The sequence below is a fragment of the Homo sapiens genome, chromosome 3, assembly GCF_000001405.40.
Source record: "Homo sapiens chromosome 3, GRCh38.p14 Primary Assembly".
In the NCBI taxonomy this organism is placed as follows: Eukaryota; Metazoa; Chordata; class Mammalia; order Primates; family Hominidae; genus Homo; species Homo sapiens.
Window position 1 is genome coordinate 23,525,944 of NC_000003.12, and position 17,772 is coordinate 23,543,715.

Genomic DNA, 17,772 nt, shown 5'->3' on the forward strand with positions numbered 1-17,772 from the left:
ATTTCTGAATCACTAATATCTAAGGACCGCAAACAATTCCTTATCAGTTTGCAAGTATTCTTTCTCATTTTCCCTAGTTTGTTGATAAGGTCTAGAAAAGAATGCTGGCTGCTTCAAGGGCTTTTATTAGCGAGTTTTTACCTTGATTGTAGAACATGTTTGCTGATGTAACCAGACCACTCATTTCTTAGGTTCTCTTTAGCATTTAAATAGGAAGTAGCAGCAATACAAATGTTTATGTTGGAGTGCCCGGCACATATTGAATGCTTACTGAATTTATTATTTCTATTATTAGTTTAGCCTATATGAAGCCCCTTGTGAAATAATATTATAACCTGTAGGAAAATTTAGTAAAGGAACATGGGACAGAAAAATGTTAAAGAGATCTTCTCCTTCCTCAGGATATTCTCTAGTCTTCCAGCTTTTACTCTTAAGTTATGGTTCTAAAACGCTCTTTTACCTAAAAAACAATAAGAGGTTATAACCCCTCAGAGACCACGAGCCTGTGGTGTGTTAGCATTTGTTCAACAAACAGTGGGCTCTTTATGTATGCCAGGCAGTGCTTTGGACATCAGTTGAAAGACAATACTTTCATGAGTAATTCATGATTTCATGAGGAGGTCCTACTGCAAGTATAGTATTGAAGTAGGAATATGATGGCAGGACCCCCAAAGAGGAGATTGCTTACATTTCAATAGATAAACACATAACACTTCTTAAAACTTAGGGATCAAGATTTTGTTTCCTGCTTCAAAAGGTGGTAGTTGTGGGAGTCTCTGACATTAGAACATGTTGGAACAGTCAGTGTGTCTGTTTAATTCAGTGTGGTTTAATTCATGAACACCTGTCAGAATAGAAGTTGACAAACATCATCATCAAAGTAGATCCTTTTGTTATCATTATAAAATATTCAAGTTTAAAACTCTGTCCAGAAATTCACAGGATTCTTTGCAAACTCAAATTTTATTATTTTTCATCCAGTTATACTTTGGTTTTAACGAAATGTCTCCATTTAAAACACCATAAAGTCAACAAAATTTATTAAAATTTTTAATAAAAACTGAGCAAAAGATGTGACAAACTGTAGAGGATATCCAGATAACACATAAACAAATGAAAAAGTGTTCAACATTATTAGCATTTAAGGAAATGTAAATTAAAACCACACTGAGGTATCATTACACCTTATCAAAATGGCTATAATGAAACATAGTGATAACACCAAATGCTAGCAAGGATGCAGAGAAACTAGATCACATTGCTAGTGAGAATATAAAATGGTACAACCACTCTGGGAAGGAGTATGGCAGGTTATTATAAAACTAAATATGAGCTTAACATATGACCCACCAATTACACTCTTGGGCATTTATCTGAGAGATATAAAAACTTATGTTCACACAAAACACATACACAGATGTTCATAGCAGCTTTATTTGTAATAGCTTGAAAATGGAAACAACCCTGCGATATTGTGATTTTTAATAAGAAATATATACTATTTGGTCCTGATTTTTGGCACAAAGCTACTAAAAGCCTTGCGATCTCAGAAATGTTAAGTGTCTTCTGATGCTAATGAGGTGACTGGTGGCTGGGGTCTCCTGGAAGGCCTCAGGATGGAAGCTGGTTGCCATCATGTCACAATCATGTGATTAGAGGGTTGGAACTTTCAGCCCCTTTCCCCTATAACCCTCAGGGAGAGGAGAGCATCTGAAATTTGAGTTGATCACTAATGACCAATGATTTAAATCAATCATGCCTACATAATGAAGCCTCCATAAAACCCCTAAAAGCAAGGTTCAGAGAGGTTCTGGGTTGCTGAACTCATGGAGGTTGTTGTACCCCAAGAGGGCATGGCAACTCTATACCACCCCCACCACCCCACCCCACCCCTTATGGCTCGTACCTTACCTTATGCTTATCTTCTTAACTGTTCAGCTGTATCCTTTGTAATATATTTTATAATAAACCAGTAAAGGTAAGTAAAACGCATTTATGGATTGTGTGAACTGCTTTAGCAAATGATTGAACCTGAGGAGGGGGTTGTGGGAACCCCCAGTTTATAACAGTCAGAACTTGGATTGGCATCTGAAGTGAGAAGCAGTCTTGTGGGACTGAGACCTAAACCTGTAGGTTCTGACTCTAAATCCAGGTGGATAGTATCAGAATTGAACTGTGGGACACCCAGCTAGCATCAGAAAATTAGTTGTCAGGAGAAACTCCTCACCCCACATTTGGTCACAGAAGTCTTCTGTGTTGAGAGAGTAGGAAAAACATTTTGATTCTTCCAATCTCATAGAAACCCAGATGCCCTTCAGTGGGTAAATGGGTAAACAAATTGGTACATCTATTACTGTTTGGTTCTTAGTCTTATTTGGAGAAAGAATTCTGCCAAGCTACTGGTTTAGCCAGAGAAAGAGAATTCATTGAAGGAAAATACAGAGTAGGGAGTTTATCTAGAGAGACAGTACACTCTGAAAAGATGAGGCAGGGCGAGCTGCTGAAAGAGAGTGAGCCAGCAGCACCCCGAGAGTGGTGGGTTTTTATGATTTCAGATTTTTTCTTGAAGTTCCTGCCTCTTTCTTAAGTCTCCGCCTTTTTACTTTGTTTAGTTTTCTGCATCTGCCTTAAGTCCCTGCCTTTTCCCTCACCTAGTTCCCGCCCCAAGGTTGTGGGACCCTCCCTTACTATTGGTGTGCACGCGTGAACCCGATGTTGGACACAAATTGCTTCTGCGTATCTCTTAGGAATTTTCTCCTTTGCCCTCTTCCCTTTAGCATGCATCTAGCTACATTCTGGCAGGTTAACTGGCAGAGTGAGCAATCACTGGGGTCTTAAGGGGGATTCCTTTCTGCCTAGGTATTTCCCCTCCTGTCTGTTCATATCTAGCACGCCTGTTTGGGGTGATCCCTGGGGCATGAGATTTTCCAGACTCCTTTTCTCAGGGCAGCCCTTCTCCTCCTCATGTCTGTTTATCTGCCTATTCTACCACATCTATGCCGTGGAATACTACTCATCAGTAAGAAAGGAACAAATTATTGACACGTGCAACAGCTTGGATGGATCTTAAGGGAATTGTGCAGAGTGAAAAGAACCAATTTCAATTGGTTACCTACTATACGATTCCATTTATATAGCGTTCTTGAAATGACAAAGTTGTGGAGATGAGGACAGAGTTGTAGTTGCCAGGAATTGAAGTAAAGGGAGAAGGCAACTATGGCTATCGCAGGGTACCATGAAGAATGTTTGTGATAGAGTTGTTTGTGTGTTGACTGGTGGTATTCACACAAATCTATACATGTGATAAAATTACATAGAACTAAATATACTTAATATGCATGAGTGCACATAAAAATGAAACTGGAAAAGGTCAGTGGACTGTATTAATGTCAGTTTCCTGCAGTATACTGTAGTTATACAGGATGTTTTCATTGGGGAAAATTGAGTGAAAAATACATGGGATCTCTTTATTTCTTACAACTGTACATGAATCTACAATTATCCCAGAATTATAAATTTTTAACGAAAGAACAGAGGCATTGATGCTGAGAGACAAACCGTAGGCTTTTGGATCAGCACAATTGTGTTCAAATTCTGGCTTCCACTTACCACTTGTGGGATCTTGAGCCAGTTCTTTAACCTCCCTTTGCCTTAGTTTCATCATTTTTCAAGTGGTTGCCAATAATATTATTTTCCCTATTGAGTTGTTTTGAGGGTTAATTATCAATATTATGTAAGCCACTCATTGGTTAAATTGGGATCGTAAAAATATTTTATCTTTTCATTTAGCACTTAAAGGGATAGGCACTCTGCCTTCTCCAGAGAAATTTTAATATCACGAGATAGTCTCTGTTTCATTAACTTAGGCTAGTGTCTTTATTTCTTCTTTCATGGAGTTTACTCTGTTGTTCTTTTACTACCTTCCTGAGTTGGACACTTAACTCATTAAATATCTGTCTTCCTTCCTAATGTATGTGTTTGAAACTGTAGATTTCTCTTTTACAACTGTTTTAGCTGAGTCACAAAATTTTGATATTGGCAACCCAATATTTTCATTGTCATTCAGCAATAATAGTAACTGATTTTTTTCTTTGATCCAAGAATTATTTGAAAATGAGTTTTTCAGTTTCCAAACATATGATAGGGGGATCTTTTATATGTAGATTCTGACTTTACATTATGGTCTTAATAATGTCAATTCTTTGAAATATGTAAAGCTTCTTTTGTGGCTTAGCATGGGATCAGTTTTTACAAATGTTTCTTAAATGTTCCTTAATCATTAAGTGTAGGATTGTGTCTTCATTCACTCCCTTGATTTTGTTTATCCAATTGTTCAGATCTCCAATATCCTTACTAATCTTTAGTCTGGTTGACCTATCAGTTACTGTGGTGAAAATGTCCCTCTTTGATTATAGCTATGTCATTTTCTCCTTATAATTTTGCACATTTTTACTTTGTATACTTTTGGCTATATTGTTAGATACAGCACATTCAGAATTGTTACTGTTTTCTTGATGAGTTGTTTATTTTATCAGTAACGTTCTTTGTTTCTAACAATGCTTTTTCCCTTAAACATATTTTGATCTGATAATATAGTCATTTAAGCTGTTTTTGTTAGCTAGTGTTTACACAGTATATGTATCTAGGATTTAGAATTCTCAGGAAAAACATTTCTCTTCTCATTCTAGAGCCCACGCTTTCTTTGGTAAGTTTCTTTGCTATCTCTGTCATAAGGCATATCTTTTCAAGTCCATGCATTTACTGAAAGACTAGCCATTCGAGTTTCCTAATTGATATAAGGGCGCTCAATTCTAAATTCTTGCAACATACAGGCCTAAGATTTCATCTTCTTTTTCCATGAGGGCATCAAAACCCAAACCTCCACTTTATTAAGACTGAGTACCATCTTTTACTCCCTTCCCTCTTCCCAAAACCCCACCCATGGCAGGTGCAGTCTCAGCTTGTTGCGCTTACTATAATTTTTGGTTTTTAATTCTGGGCTCTGGGAATTCCCCTTACAGATTTTGCTATGCATTTTAAAGAATGTTGGTTATATTTTCTTCAACATTTCTAGGCATTTAAGATGTGTATGTAGGTGTCATGGATTATCTGGTCTGGCATGATGCTAGAAGGGCAGTTCTCATTAGAAGTACTAATTTAACCTGAGAATGATGTCTCTTGTTCGACAACCACATAAGTCTCTAGATTTGCCCTTTCTGAGACTTCGCATCATGTAAATTACATAAATCTGGTGTTTGACTGGATGCTGGATGCCCTGGTGGAGTGGCAGCACCTGCAGAGATCTGCATGTGTGTTTTTCTTGGTTCAGAGCTATTTTGAACATAGGGTACCAAAAGACTGTCTTTAGAACCCTGAGATTTTTGTATATTTCAACTTAAAATTTAAGAACATTTATGAACATAATATTAATCAATAATATTCACATCTTATTGCCGTTTACATAACACTTTTATTAAACAGTTTTAGTAGTTATAAAACTGATTTGCACTTAATTATTTTCGTAGTTATAAAACTGATTTGCACTTAATTATTTTCAGTTGAAGTGTTTTACAAATGATATGGTCATGTTTCACAATTACATGTAAGCAGCATACAGTGGTGATCTAGCTATCACAGGGCAAAGGTAGGATGCACTAATATTACGTTTTAAAAATAAAATTTAAGAAGGAAAAGGTTTCTAAATTACAGCTAATTGTAACTAGTAATATAACTAAAATAGTAAATTGTAACTACTATAATTATACTAATATAGTTCTATGAACTGGGCATGTTATTTATATAAATGCCTTAGTTTATGTTTTAAAACTGTGTTATAGGCCGGGTATGTTGGCTTACACCTGTAATCCTAGCACTTTGGGAGGCCAAGGCAGGCGGATGACTTGAGGTCAGGAGTTCAAGACCAGCCTGGCCAACATGGCAAAACCCTGTCTCTACTAAAAATACAAAAATTAGCTGGGTGTGGTGGCGGGCACCTCTAATCCCAGCTACTTGGGAGGCTGAGGCAGGACAATCGCTTGAACCCGGGAGGTGGAGGTTGCAGTGAGCAAAGATCACGCCACTGCACTCCAGCCTGGGCAACAGAGCGAAACTCTATCTCAAAAAAAAAAAAAAAGAAAAAAAAACTGTTATAGAATAATATTTATTTTCTTTGTATTAGTACTCTCATGCTTTTTGGTGTTTGAATATTATAAATGTACAAAATCCTTAAAATAACTGGAATCTAACAAAAGTTTTCTTTGAAATTTTTTAGAAGTCAGAGTCAGTTTCTCCCCATGAACATTCCTGTAGTTGTATCAAAAGTAAATTCAGTCCCTAAAACATTTGTTAAATAACAGGACTCTTTATAAGAAGCAGAATGTCATGGTTTTGCTGTTGATGTTTATTTCTCTGTGCCCAAAATGACAAATTCTAAAATGATGATCTCTGTTGATTAATCTCATGTGCCCAAGAAAAAAATCAAGTGTATGTTAACCAATAGCCTGGGCTATTTTGTCTGATAAAATAGGCAATTTTATTAGACAAAAATTGTCTATAGATACTGTTAATAAACACTTTGTCTAACAAAATATAACTTTACATTTTCTTGTAGGTTACCTTCCGAACAAGAATCTATCACTGTAATATTAACAGCCAAGGTGTGATCTGTCTGGACATCTTAAAGGACAACTGGAGTCCGGCTTTAACTATTTCTAAAGTTCTCCTCTCCATCTGCTCACTTCTTACAGATTGCAACCCTGGTAAGAGACTTTAAATCTAGTATGAATTGGAGCTTGTCAAGATTTAAATGTCAGACCCTTAGTAACTTGTTTACTACTGCTACTACCACTACCACCACTGCTTCTACTACTATTATTGTTAAATTTTCATAGTATGTAACTATTTTCTTTTTAAATTGGGTCTTCTCATTAGTGTTTTTAAGACCTATCATTTGCCAAAAAGGAAAAAGTATAGTGTGGTAAAAAAAATAATGAAAAATCATTTTAGATGGGAAAGTACGTTTAAAGAATGAATTAAGTTATCCTGCCAAATAATAATAAAAATTCAAGTTGAATAGCTTAATCTTTAATTAGATGCCTACTAGAAGATGTTAATTTGAGGAATGTGGGCTATTAAAATCTGATAACAACCAGGCAGCACCATGCAGACGTGACCTTTTTGGCATCCTAGTAACTGTGCATCCTGACAAGCTATTATAACGGTCCTGAATGGTCTGTTCTAGGAAATACCCCAAAAGTAAACAAGGAAATACACCTCCCAAGAAAACGAAAAAGTCTATAGCCAGGCCTTTATGGCTTGCTGGTGTGCTTACCACTGAAAATTCTTAATTCCTGGGCCATGTCTTTACAAATTGGGTTTATTTTAGAAAATACAAAAATCCAAAGATAGCTATAGGGTTTTCATTGATGTTCTCAGTGGGAGAATTATTTTATGAGTAATTAATAGCTTAAATATTGCATGAGATTCCCTCTTCTACAATCATGAGTAAACTCTGTTCACTGGATACATGAAATTTTACACAAATGGAAATGACGAGTATCAGTGGGGTTGCTTAGGATCCTGGCTGTTTTATAAAACATCAAGAAATAACAGTCTTTCTACTTTTATATTTCTTTATTTTTCAGCAGTAAAATCTTTTTTAAAGTAGCAAATTAGTATTTTTTTTTTTTTTTTTTTTTTGAAACTGAGTCTCACTGTGTCACCCAGGCTGGAGTGCAGTGGCACGATCTTGGCTCCCGCAACCTCCGCCTCCTGGATTCAAGCGATTCTCCTATCTTAGCCCCCCAAGTAGCTGGGATTACAGCCGTGTGCCGCCAAGCCCAGCTTATTTTTGTACTTTTAGTAGAGACGGGGTTTCACCGTGTTGGCCAGCCAGGTCTCGAACTCCTGACCTTGTGATCCGCCCGCTTTGGCCCCCCAAAGTGCTGGGATTACAGGCATGAGCCACTGTACCCAGCCTGCCCAAAAAATAAAATTGTGCAGGATCATTATAAAATATTTTTTGAATTAATTCATACTTTACTACAGACAGTAAAGTCCAATAATGTTATACTAATTTAAAGTTAATTTTGTTCTTTCAGTCCTGTTGTTCCCATTTTAATCCCATTTGTCTGTGACTGTGTATAACCTTGTATAACCTCATTTGGAGGTAATGTTGCAAGAAGGCTTTTTTTTTTTTTTTTTTTTTGAGGTGATTTCGAAGCCTGGCCTGCTTTGCCTCCAAGTCAGCTGAAATGGAATCTGTTACCCTGAATAAGCCTGTATATGACAGCCTGTTCTCTCTACAGATATTCCTGCTTAAAGGAATAGATTCATTCCACCAAAGCCTTCTCTCAGCAATCAAAAAGACTTCTGTTCAGTGAACTAGTTTTTTTTTTTTGCTCCGTTTCAGAAAATTACAAATGCATTCTGCAAAAACTTAAAAATCACTCCTAACTAAAGCAGAACCACATAAGTAAAAGAAATAGATTTTGAAATAATGCTATTGATAGTAAGAACAAGCCTAAAAATAATGTTCCATAAAACCAAAGACAGCCTGCCTCATATGAGACTAGAAGAGAATTTGTAAAATACATGCTAACATTTAGTTTATCACACTTTTTAACACATAAAAATAAAGTTTCCTAATTGGTTTTTATGAATGTTGACACTTCTAGAATCTTAAATAGAGTTGTTTATTTTAAAGTAGTCAAATGTCCATTCTTTTGCTTAATGGACTTATTTCACACTGTTATCTGGTACACTTTCAATCTCTGTAGGTTTTTTTACCTACAGAGGTAGGAAAGATTAGGTTAGATTGAAGTTTATCTTAAATCTATCTTCAAATTATCACAAAAACAAGTTTGATAGAATAGGAATAAATAAGATTTTCCTACACTGAATCTGTAGAGCTATTTTAACCCGGAAATGCTGTCACCTCAAAAATAGGCCTTGTATAATGATACAAATTTAACTCACTTAAAAAATACTTTCTCACTCTTATCCATACATAAACTTATTTTCTAAATCTTTTTCATACTCTTTTTGTAATTTGCACTTGTCTCTTTAAAGAATTTTTGGTCCATTCCAACACAGATGTTCTTTAGGGTATGACTACCCATCCTTATCAGCATGATATTTGTAGACAGCAGATGTAGATTTGAAAACCAGTTTAATTGTTTATTAGTCATATCACATTGGATGGGTCACTTAACTTTCCACAGGCTTAGTTTTTGATATAAAATTGGGATTAGTACCAGCCCTGCCTAAATCACTGGATTCCTCTGAGGTTAAAATGAGATGGTATATGTGAAAGCCATTTATAAATGGTAATGTGTTGTTGATATTGTTACCCAGAGTATTTGGGACACCAAATGGGCCCACAATAGGTGACCGATAAACACCTACTCAGTTGAATTTAACTGGGGAGATAGTATCGAATAGTATCTAACGCCGTCACCTCAACATTGACACTTGGATTTTACAATCGAAAAAAGCTGAACCTTGACTTAGTAGGATTATCACTCAGGTGGCAGATGTCCAAACGTTATCAGCCAGTCGATGGGTGCACCAGCAATAATCATTCTGTTTTCAATGCAATTGTCTAGGTAGATCTAACTGCTGGTCTTATTAGGCCACCACTTCATGATGGTGTTTATTGAGCCTGATAGAGCATTCTTTTTTTTTTTTTTTTTTTTTTTGAGATGGAGTCTCGCTCTGTCGCCCAGGCTGGATTGCAATGGCACGATCTCAGCTCACTGCATCCTCTCCTCCCGGGTTCAAGCGATTCTCCTGCCTCAGCCTCCCGAGTAGCTGGGTCTACAGGCCCCACCACCATGCCTGGCTAATTTTTTGTATTTTTAGTAGAGACAAGGCTTCACCGTGTTAGCCAGGATGGTCTCAATCTCCTGACCTCGTGATCCGCCCGCCTCGGCCTCCCAAAGTGCTGGGATGACAGGCGTGAGCCACCCAACCAGCCAAGCATTCTTATTTGTTAGACGTTACCTGGCTTTTTCTGAGTTTAGTCTTGCTTACTAAACATTATTTAATTTGTGAATTGCCAAAGTTGAGAATACCATTGGGGAATCAAATTTCTGTGCTTTCTTATTTGTAAGTACTTTCTTCTGGAGTCATTATTTAACACATAAAATTTAAGTTCTATTTGGTTTCATCTTTTGAAGTTTGTTTTTGCTATTTTGTGGACTTTTTAAAAACTCTTAGATGTTTGGTAATATTCTTTATATGAAATCTGTTTCTTTAACAATTATTTAAAATGTGCTTATATTATGGCCTTCAGACCTATTTAAAAAATGGGTATTTTACCTCATGCAAAATTAATCATTGTGAGAACACTGACAATTAGAAGATCAACAGTTTTCCTTTACCTGATGCTTAGTTTACAGAGTTATGGCTATAAATATTTCTAACCTTTTTTTCCTTCTTGAGACGTGTATAGGTCTGTATATCATCTAGCATTATTTTATTAATCTCATTTCTATTTGTCTGCTCTACTACTGTTACTCTCTAAAGTGTTTTTGAGCTTGTTTTGTTCTAAACTCAGTTATGATGTATCATTTAAAATTTTCCCCCAAATATGTATGACTCTTATGAGACAGTCAGAAAGTTGACAATGAAACATTTGATATTGAGAAATTATTGCCAGAAATTTTTGAGCATGACAATGGAATTGTACCTGTCCTTACCTTTTAGACATCTGTACTGGACTATTTGCAAATAAAATTCTTTGATATATGGAATTTAGTTCAAAATAATCCAGAAAGATTGTAGATGGGGAGGAATATGGAAGATACTGAGATTGACCATTATAACTGTTGAATCTGAGTGATGAGTATACACATGGGTGCTCATTATACTTTTCTATGTTTGGATATGTTTGAAATTCTTCTTAACTTTTTTTAGTTGCTAAAAATCAGACATACTAACAGTGTGACATAAGTCCTCGTTTAATGTCATCAGTAGGTTCTTAGAAACTGCAACTTTTAGTGAAACGAGATAATGTATAATGAAACCAATTTTACCATAGGCTGATTGATCTAAACAAGGGTTAATTTCCCGTGGCATACAGTACTTCATTTTGCTTGAAGTTGCAGTTTCCAAGAACCTATCAGCCACATTAAGTGAGGACTTAAGGTAATCTGTAAGTGGTACGTGATTTGGCTCTCTTTTGCTCTTGAAGGGAATCATCTGGGCTCTGACCCTGGCTTGTGTATTTCATTCCCCTGTCGTCTGCCTTCAGACCATAAGCTGCCTTGTGGTGCAGCCTGGACCAGCAGGGGCTTGCATTCGTAAGCAACCATGAAGTCTTTGTCTGTCTCTCTTCAAACAGGCAGAACTATACAGGTCAGGTCAAATGAAAATGCTCTAAGCATACCCACAAACATCAACACTCAGGATGGATGAGCTGCTCCCTCTCCCTGCATCACCTTTCAAATAAAAATCAAGTATCGGTTACTCCAGTCTTAGATGTGTGCAGATCTGTATTAGAACAGCAAATAGAGCTAAGAATGGCCACTAATTAACCCTCAGCCTTGTATAGTGATTAAGCTGAGGGTGAGCACAGCTGCAGTTTCATTGGTAAAAGCTTTATTCTTCTCAAATGGACTGAGCAAAAGAAAAGAGGAATTTGCTCCCAGTGGCTCTTTTATAGTGATCTATAAAAGCTTGGGAGAATGTTTCCTTCTTCATTCTCCAACATCACAATTTTTTGTTTCAGATCACTTAAGGCCCTTTTTTTAAGCAATGAAAACAATTCTTATTCATAAATTGTCTCTGATACCTTAGCTTTGATTGTTATTAATTGCTTATCTTTGGATTAGTTATGATTAGGTAGTAAATTGTGTTAGTAAATATTAAAATTTTACAATTGATAGTGACTGCTGGTGGGTGGGAACCATTAAGTCAGATTAATTATTTCAGCACATTTATATTTGTGTAGATTATTTATACCAAGTTTGGGAGCCGCTAGACTGATGAAAGGTACATATAACACCTCAGTAGGATTCTAGTGCTTACACAATAGTGTGAACCTTGCTGCTGCATGTCTCATTCTACTATACTTGAGAACTGAAAAAGAACAATTTCTTTAACTGAAATTCAGGTAAAATGGTAAGTCTACCTGTTTTCAAAGCAGACTGTTTTAGCAGGACTACAAAAAAAAAATTTTTTTTCCTAGAACAATAACTACAGTTGGCTACCTAGATACCAGATTTCTTCTGATGCCTATGGCTTTTTTAAAGTGAAAAATATTAAGTAGAAATACGTGGCACAACATATAGCTAACTTCAGACTGTTTTCTTGTGAAAAGTTGGCTTGTCTTCTGTCAACTTCTGTCTACCTGCTAAATTCTAAAAGTCACTCTAATCAATACTTCCAAATATGGATGTGGAGAGACTCCACATTATTGTCATTTAACTTCACTGGCACCTCATACAAAGAAAAGGAAAGCTATGGTTATAGAGTTCATACTTTGCTCCTGTTGTTTAAGTAAATATTAAATAAGTGCTATTAATCAATCTACCTGGTATTTTTAATAGCAAGACAGTAAACAAAGTTCAAAACGTTTATTAAAGCCTTTGGGTTCCAATTCAGTATTACCTGTAGAATCCTGGGACACCGTCCCCTTCCCTCCCCTAAGTTTCCCATAGGCTTACTCAGATGCATTTGAAAATAATGCTATTCATAATGTTGAGGTTCTAGAAAAATTGAAGGCTTATTAAGATGGATGAATAAAATCAGGGAATATACGTTCCCTGTTTTGTGAATTAAAGAAGATATACAGAAGTGATTGTGTACCATCATAAATTTGGTTTAAAAAAACAAAAAATAACAATTCTGAGATGCTTACCTTGACCCCTACATATTTGTAAATGCAAATTTTAAATGATATTAAAAGGATTATTTCCCTACTTTGTCAATTCTGTAAAAATAAACCATTTCTTTAGTTGTCTTACAAGAGATACTGGTGTATAATAATGCAAACAAAAATATCCATTAGTTTGTAGCACTTTTACCAAAGAATGATTTTCTAGGAAATACTGAATGAGAAAGGAAAGCCAAAATTACCCCATTGTAGGCTTAGATCTTGGATTCCCTAGTTGTGAAACAAGTCAAAAGGATTCATCCTCTTTGACTCAAAGAGTTACCAAGAAAGGATTGGTAGCTTCAGGTGAGGGATGACTTCATGACAAAGCAAGGATTTCCTATTTAGCCCATGGTATTTCTGCTTTGTGTGGGCAAGTCTTTATTTATAACCAACAATTTGATATCCTCCTCAAACATCCAATTTGCCTTGGTGAAAAGGAGCATTAACTGTTTATTCTTTTTTGATAGATTCTTACTAGAAATGCTGACCTGCTAAAACTTTGTTACTTTCATAACTTAAATATACGTCCTTTGATAGGTTTGATTCTTTTAAAGATGGTTAAAACTAGACTTTACCATATTTGCTAACATATGGGATACCTTAAAAAGTGCTTTTAAAGTTTAAAGTTTCACCCTTATCTCTTATCTAACTAAAAGGGCCTTTGGAGAAATTACTTCCATTTGGTAAATAAGAAAATACAGTGTTGTGTTTATCATCTTCATGTATCTTTTCCTTACTTCTGTTTCCTTACTTCTAACGCAGGGAGTATCTGTCAACTTTACTTGACCTATAAAGTGCTACCAGCATTTTTAAAGTAGGAAGGTAAATCCCTTAGAGTGGGAATCTGTGGTTCCTTTTCTGTTTCTTTTTGACTGTTACAGAGTTGTTCACGCATCCATTTCAGGTTTCTGATTGGTGTGTTCTGTAATAGCAGGTACAGTAAAATCTTACTAGTTCAGTATAATTGAGAAAAGATCAGACTGATTTTTTTTAATGAATTGGAAATTTTCACTAAGTGAAGACGTAATAATTTTAAGTACATATAGGAAATATTAGGTAAAATGTGTGAACTAGATGGCCTCTAGACTCTCCTTTACCAAGGAAAAGGCTGAAGTGGGTTTTTCACACATTCACAAAAAATAGAGAAAATGGTTATTATAAGTCCCAGTGTGTCCCTCACCCAGCTTCAGAACTCACCTATATTTAGTAAGGTTTAGGAATTAGGGTTTTTTGTTTATTATTTATTTATTTATTTTTAGAGATGGGGTCTTGCTCTGTCTCCCAGGCTGGAGGGCAGTGGTGTCGTCATAGCTCTCTGCAGCTTCGAACTCCTGCACTCAAGCAACCCTCCTGCTTCAGCCTCCCGAGTAGCTAAATATTCTCAGATAATATTGTTTTAATACCATTAATTTTCATGAAAACCATTTTTAAACAAGACCTAGTAAATGTCAGAACAGGTTGCTGCATCAGAATTAAGTTAGCAGTGGTGAACTTAAGGGTATGTTACTAAAAGATACAGCATGTGCCCTGTGGAAGATAAGCCACTGAGTAAAGTTTGATGCCCTTTTGTTTGTTTGTTTGTTTGTTTGTTTGTTTGTTTTGAGACAGTTTCACTCTGTCTCCCAGGCTGCAGTGCAATGGTGCGATCTCAGCTCACTGCAACTTCCACTTGCTGGGTTCAAGCAATTCTCCTGCCTTAGCCTCCTGAGTAGCTGAGATTACAGGCGCGCACCACCACGCCCAGCTAATTTTTGGATTTTTAGTAGAGACGGGGTTTCACCATGTTGATCAGGCTGGTCTCAAACTCCTGACCTCGTGATCCTCCTGCCTTGGCCTCCCGAAGTGCTAGGATTACAGGCATGAGCCACCGTGCCTGGCAGACTGACACCTTTTTAAAAAAATAGAGAGAGAGATGAAACCTCATTCTGTTGCCTATGCTGGACTGTAGTGGCACAATCAGAACTCACTGCAGCCCCCTACCGGAACTCCTGGGCTCAAGTGGTCTCAAGTGATCCTCCTGCCTCAACCTCCCAAGAGCTGGGACTATAGGCACATGCCACCATACCCAGCTAGTTTAAATGTGAAATCAGGCTTTTTAAATGTGAAATTTTTAAACATGAAATTAAGAGAAATTATTTAAACAGCATGTTTAAACAATACATATTTGAAATTAAAATAATGCATTGTTAGTGTTATGGAAATTCCAATCTGAAACAGCATAATAAAACAACTCTAATTATTCAGTAATTGACTTGTGTGGACAAAACATCCAGATGATTGAATGACATTTTCTCTTTTTACTGTGAATACTTAAGATTGTACAGTATCTTGGGAGAAATGTTGTAATTATGAAAATTTGAAGAATTAATGTAACACTACCAATGTCTGAGTCAGATCCCATAACAAATGGGCAGTTCTCTTTATTTTACTTATTTTCTGACTCAACTTTTCATTCAGTATCTAGCCTGGGCAAGGTGCTATCAGTAACAACACTCACAGTGCCTCTTCCTCAGAAAAGAAAGCGCTTCCAAAATGTCAGATTAATTATTCCTATACAACTGTAATAACTACTTTCTCTTTTTCTTCTCTTCATATTTGTTCTTTAGTAGATCCTGGAGCTTAATGTGTATTATGGCTGTTGAATTTTTCATGTCATATTGGTGAATAATTCACACAATAAGCAGTACAAGAGTTTGCCTAAATTACTAGCATATTTCTTTCTGGAGCAGGTCTGTTCCTGGAAAAAATTACAAATCAGAATATTTTACATGTATTGGAAGAACTTTCTGCTTAAGAGTATCCTACAGGGAAACCTGTTGCCACATGAAGCTTTTATAAAGTTGAATTTTTGGAAAATGCAATGGTTCTTCCCCACCACCGCCCCAATTCAGCACTGTCTTCCTTCTGAAAGCATTTTCCCAAATAAGACATATTGTTTGTGCTATTCAAGTGCCTCGGCCAACCAACAAATGCCTATCTGACTATGTGCCTATAGGCTGATGTAGTTAGTACCTTTTGACGTGACTCTTTACACCAGTGAGGTAAACCACCTTCCTTGCATACATTGTGACCACATGTGTACTCCAGTGACTTTCTTGTCCAGACTGGCTGGCTCCTGTGATGGAAAAAATGTTCATACACAGACTAATTTAAATACATAAGGGAAACTAGGAAGAGTGCAGGCCTAGAGAAGATGTCTTCATAGTTTATCTAGCTTTGGATGCCAGCATTATATTTTTATAAGAAAAACTCTAGAAAAGAGTTCAGCTTACAATGCATGAATAACCCCGCATCACTGGGGCAAAGGCATATTAGAGTGCCAGCCACCCGTGGTCATCGTAGGAGGGTACATTTATCTGAGGGATGTGTATTTTTTAATCTTGGTAATAGCCTACTAGGGATGGTATATTTTAACTTCAGCCTTACTATAAATGGTTCTGTATCTGCGGGTAATGCATCTTTTCTGTAGATTCATAATCAAAATAATGTGGTTAGCTTAGAGTTGGGGTTAATCATATATGAGTTCAAAAAGTTAATAGTCCATGTCCAATTTGGTAAAAGTTTGTAAGTGAAAAATTACTATTTGGGGGAAGTTTTTGTTTGCTTCTTTGATTTGCTGGAGAAATGATTTAAAGTTGCAGTATTGTAACTAGGCAAAGAAGCCTTTGATTTAGATACATGTGGGAGTTGCATTTGGGGAACTTAGGCCATGTGTATCTTCATAGTATTCATGGTGGAGAGAGAGTGTTTTCAGGTGAAAAAGAAAGTTTTAGATTCATTCCTTAATAAAATGTATTTTCTGTATTGGCTTTTTGTTATTTTCAAAATTGATGTATCTTTATTATTTTTTCTTATACAAATAATACCTGCTTATTAATTTTTAAAAATCAGTCGTCTTTTCAAGATAAGTATTTAATTTTTATTTGAGGCTCTTTGCTCTGGGAACTCAAATTTGGTGGGACCCAGCAAAGTATATTTGTCAGTTAAGTTTGTCTGGTTATAATCTTGGTGTAAATTTAGACACGTTGACCTCAGGGATTTAGCCTTGGCTTTGACCTGCTTTTGCTTAGCATTTCCCTATGCATATTTTATTGTCTCTTAATTAATATAAATGTCGACATGGATTAGCTGTTGATACAAATTTTCTTTTATAAAGTCCATTGCTCTCCCTGCAGTAGTAACCTCTAATTGGTTGGTTTAGAAGTTGATCTTGGCTAGGTGGCTCATGCCTGTAATCCCAGCACTTTTGGGAGGCCAAGGCAGGAGGATCACTTGAAGCCAGGAGTTCAAGACTAGCCTAGGCAACAAAGTGAGACCCTGTCGCTACAAAACATAACAAACACTTTTACCACTTCTATTCAACATAGTACCAGAAGTCCTAGCCAGAACAATCATTCAAGAGAAAGAAATAAAGGGCATCCAAACTGGAAAAGAGGAAGTCAAATTATCTCTGTTTGCCAGTGATGTGATCGTATACCTAGAAAACCCTAAAGACTCCTCCAGAATACTCCTAGATTTGATAAATGAAATCAGTAAAGTCTCAGGTTACAAAATCAGTGTACACAAATCAGTAGCATTGCTGTATATCAGCAACAGCCAAGCTGAGAATCAAATCATGAACTCATTTCCTCTTACAATAGCTGCAAAAATAAAATAAAATGCCTGGGAATATAGTTAACCAAGGAGGTGAAGGATGTCTGTGAGGAATACTACAAAACACTGCTAAAAAAAAAAAAATAATAATAGATGACAAACAAATGGAAATACATTTCATGTTCATGGATTGGAAGAGTCAATATTGTGAAAATGACCATACTGCCCAAAGCAATCTACAGATTCAGTGCAATTCCTATCAAAACACCAAAATCCTTTTTCACAGAATTAGAGAAGAC

General features: G+C 36.3%; 1 protein-coding gene across 4 annotated transcripts in view, besides 1 other annotated feature; it reads left to right on the plus strand.

The window, feature by feature from the left end:
- The window catches only part of UBE2E2 (ubiquitin conjugating enzyme E2 E2), a 388,828-nt gene that overhangs the window by 322,846 nt on the left and 48,210 nt on the right, over positions 1–17,772 (plus strand). For 2 of the 4 annotated variants that reach the window (NM_001370226.1, XM_047448843.1), the window contains exons 5-6: positions 6,611–6,758; positions 8,210–10,754. In NM_001370226.1, the coding sequence (NP_001357155.1) occupies positions 6,611–6,758; positions 8,210–8,271 (210 nt within the window). In that variant the 3' untranslated portion in view covers positions 8,272–10,754. Of the gene's footprint in view, positions 1–6,610; positions 6,759–8,209; positions 10,755–17,772 lie in introns of those variants that run through there. The other 2 variants (NM_001370225.1, NM_152653.4) reach the window with 1 other exon arrangement.
- Positions 5,130–5,299: an enhancer, noted in NCBI's record as "experimental_68816 CRE fragment used in MPRA reporter constructs". NCBI's record gives its function as "activates a minimal promoter by MPRAs in K562 erythroleukemia cells, with activity observed for both the introgressed and non-introgressed 3:23572649 variant alleles {active_cell/tissue: K562}" and the evidence as "EXISTENCE:reporter gene assay evidence [ECO:0000049][PMID:34662402]".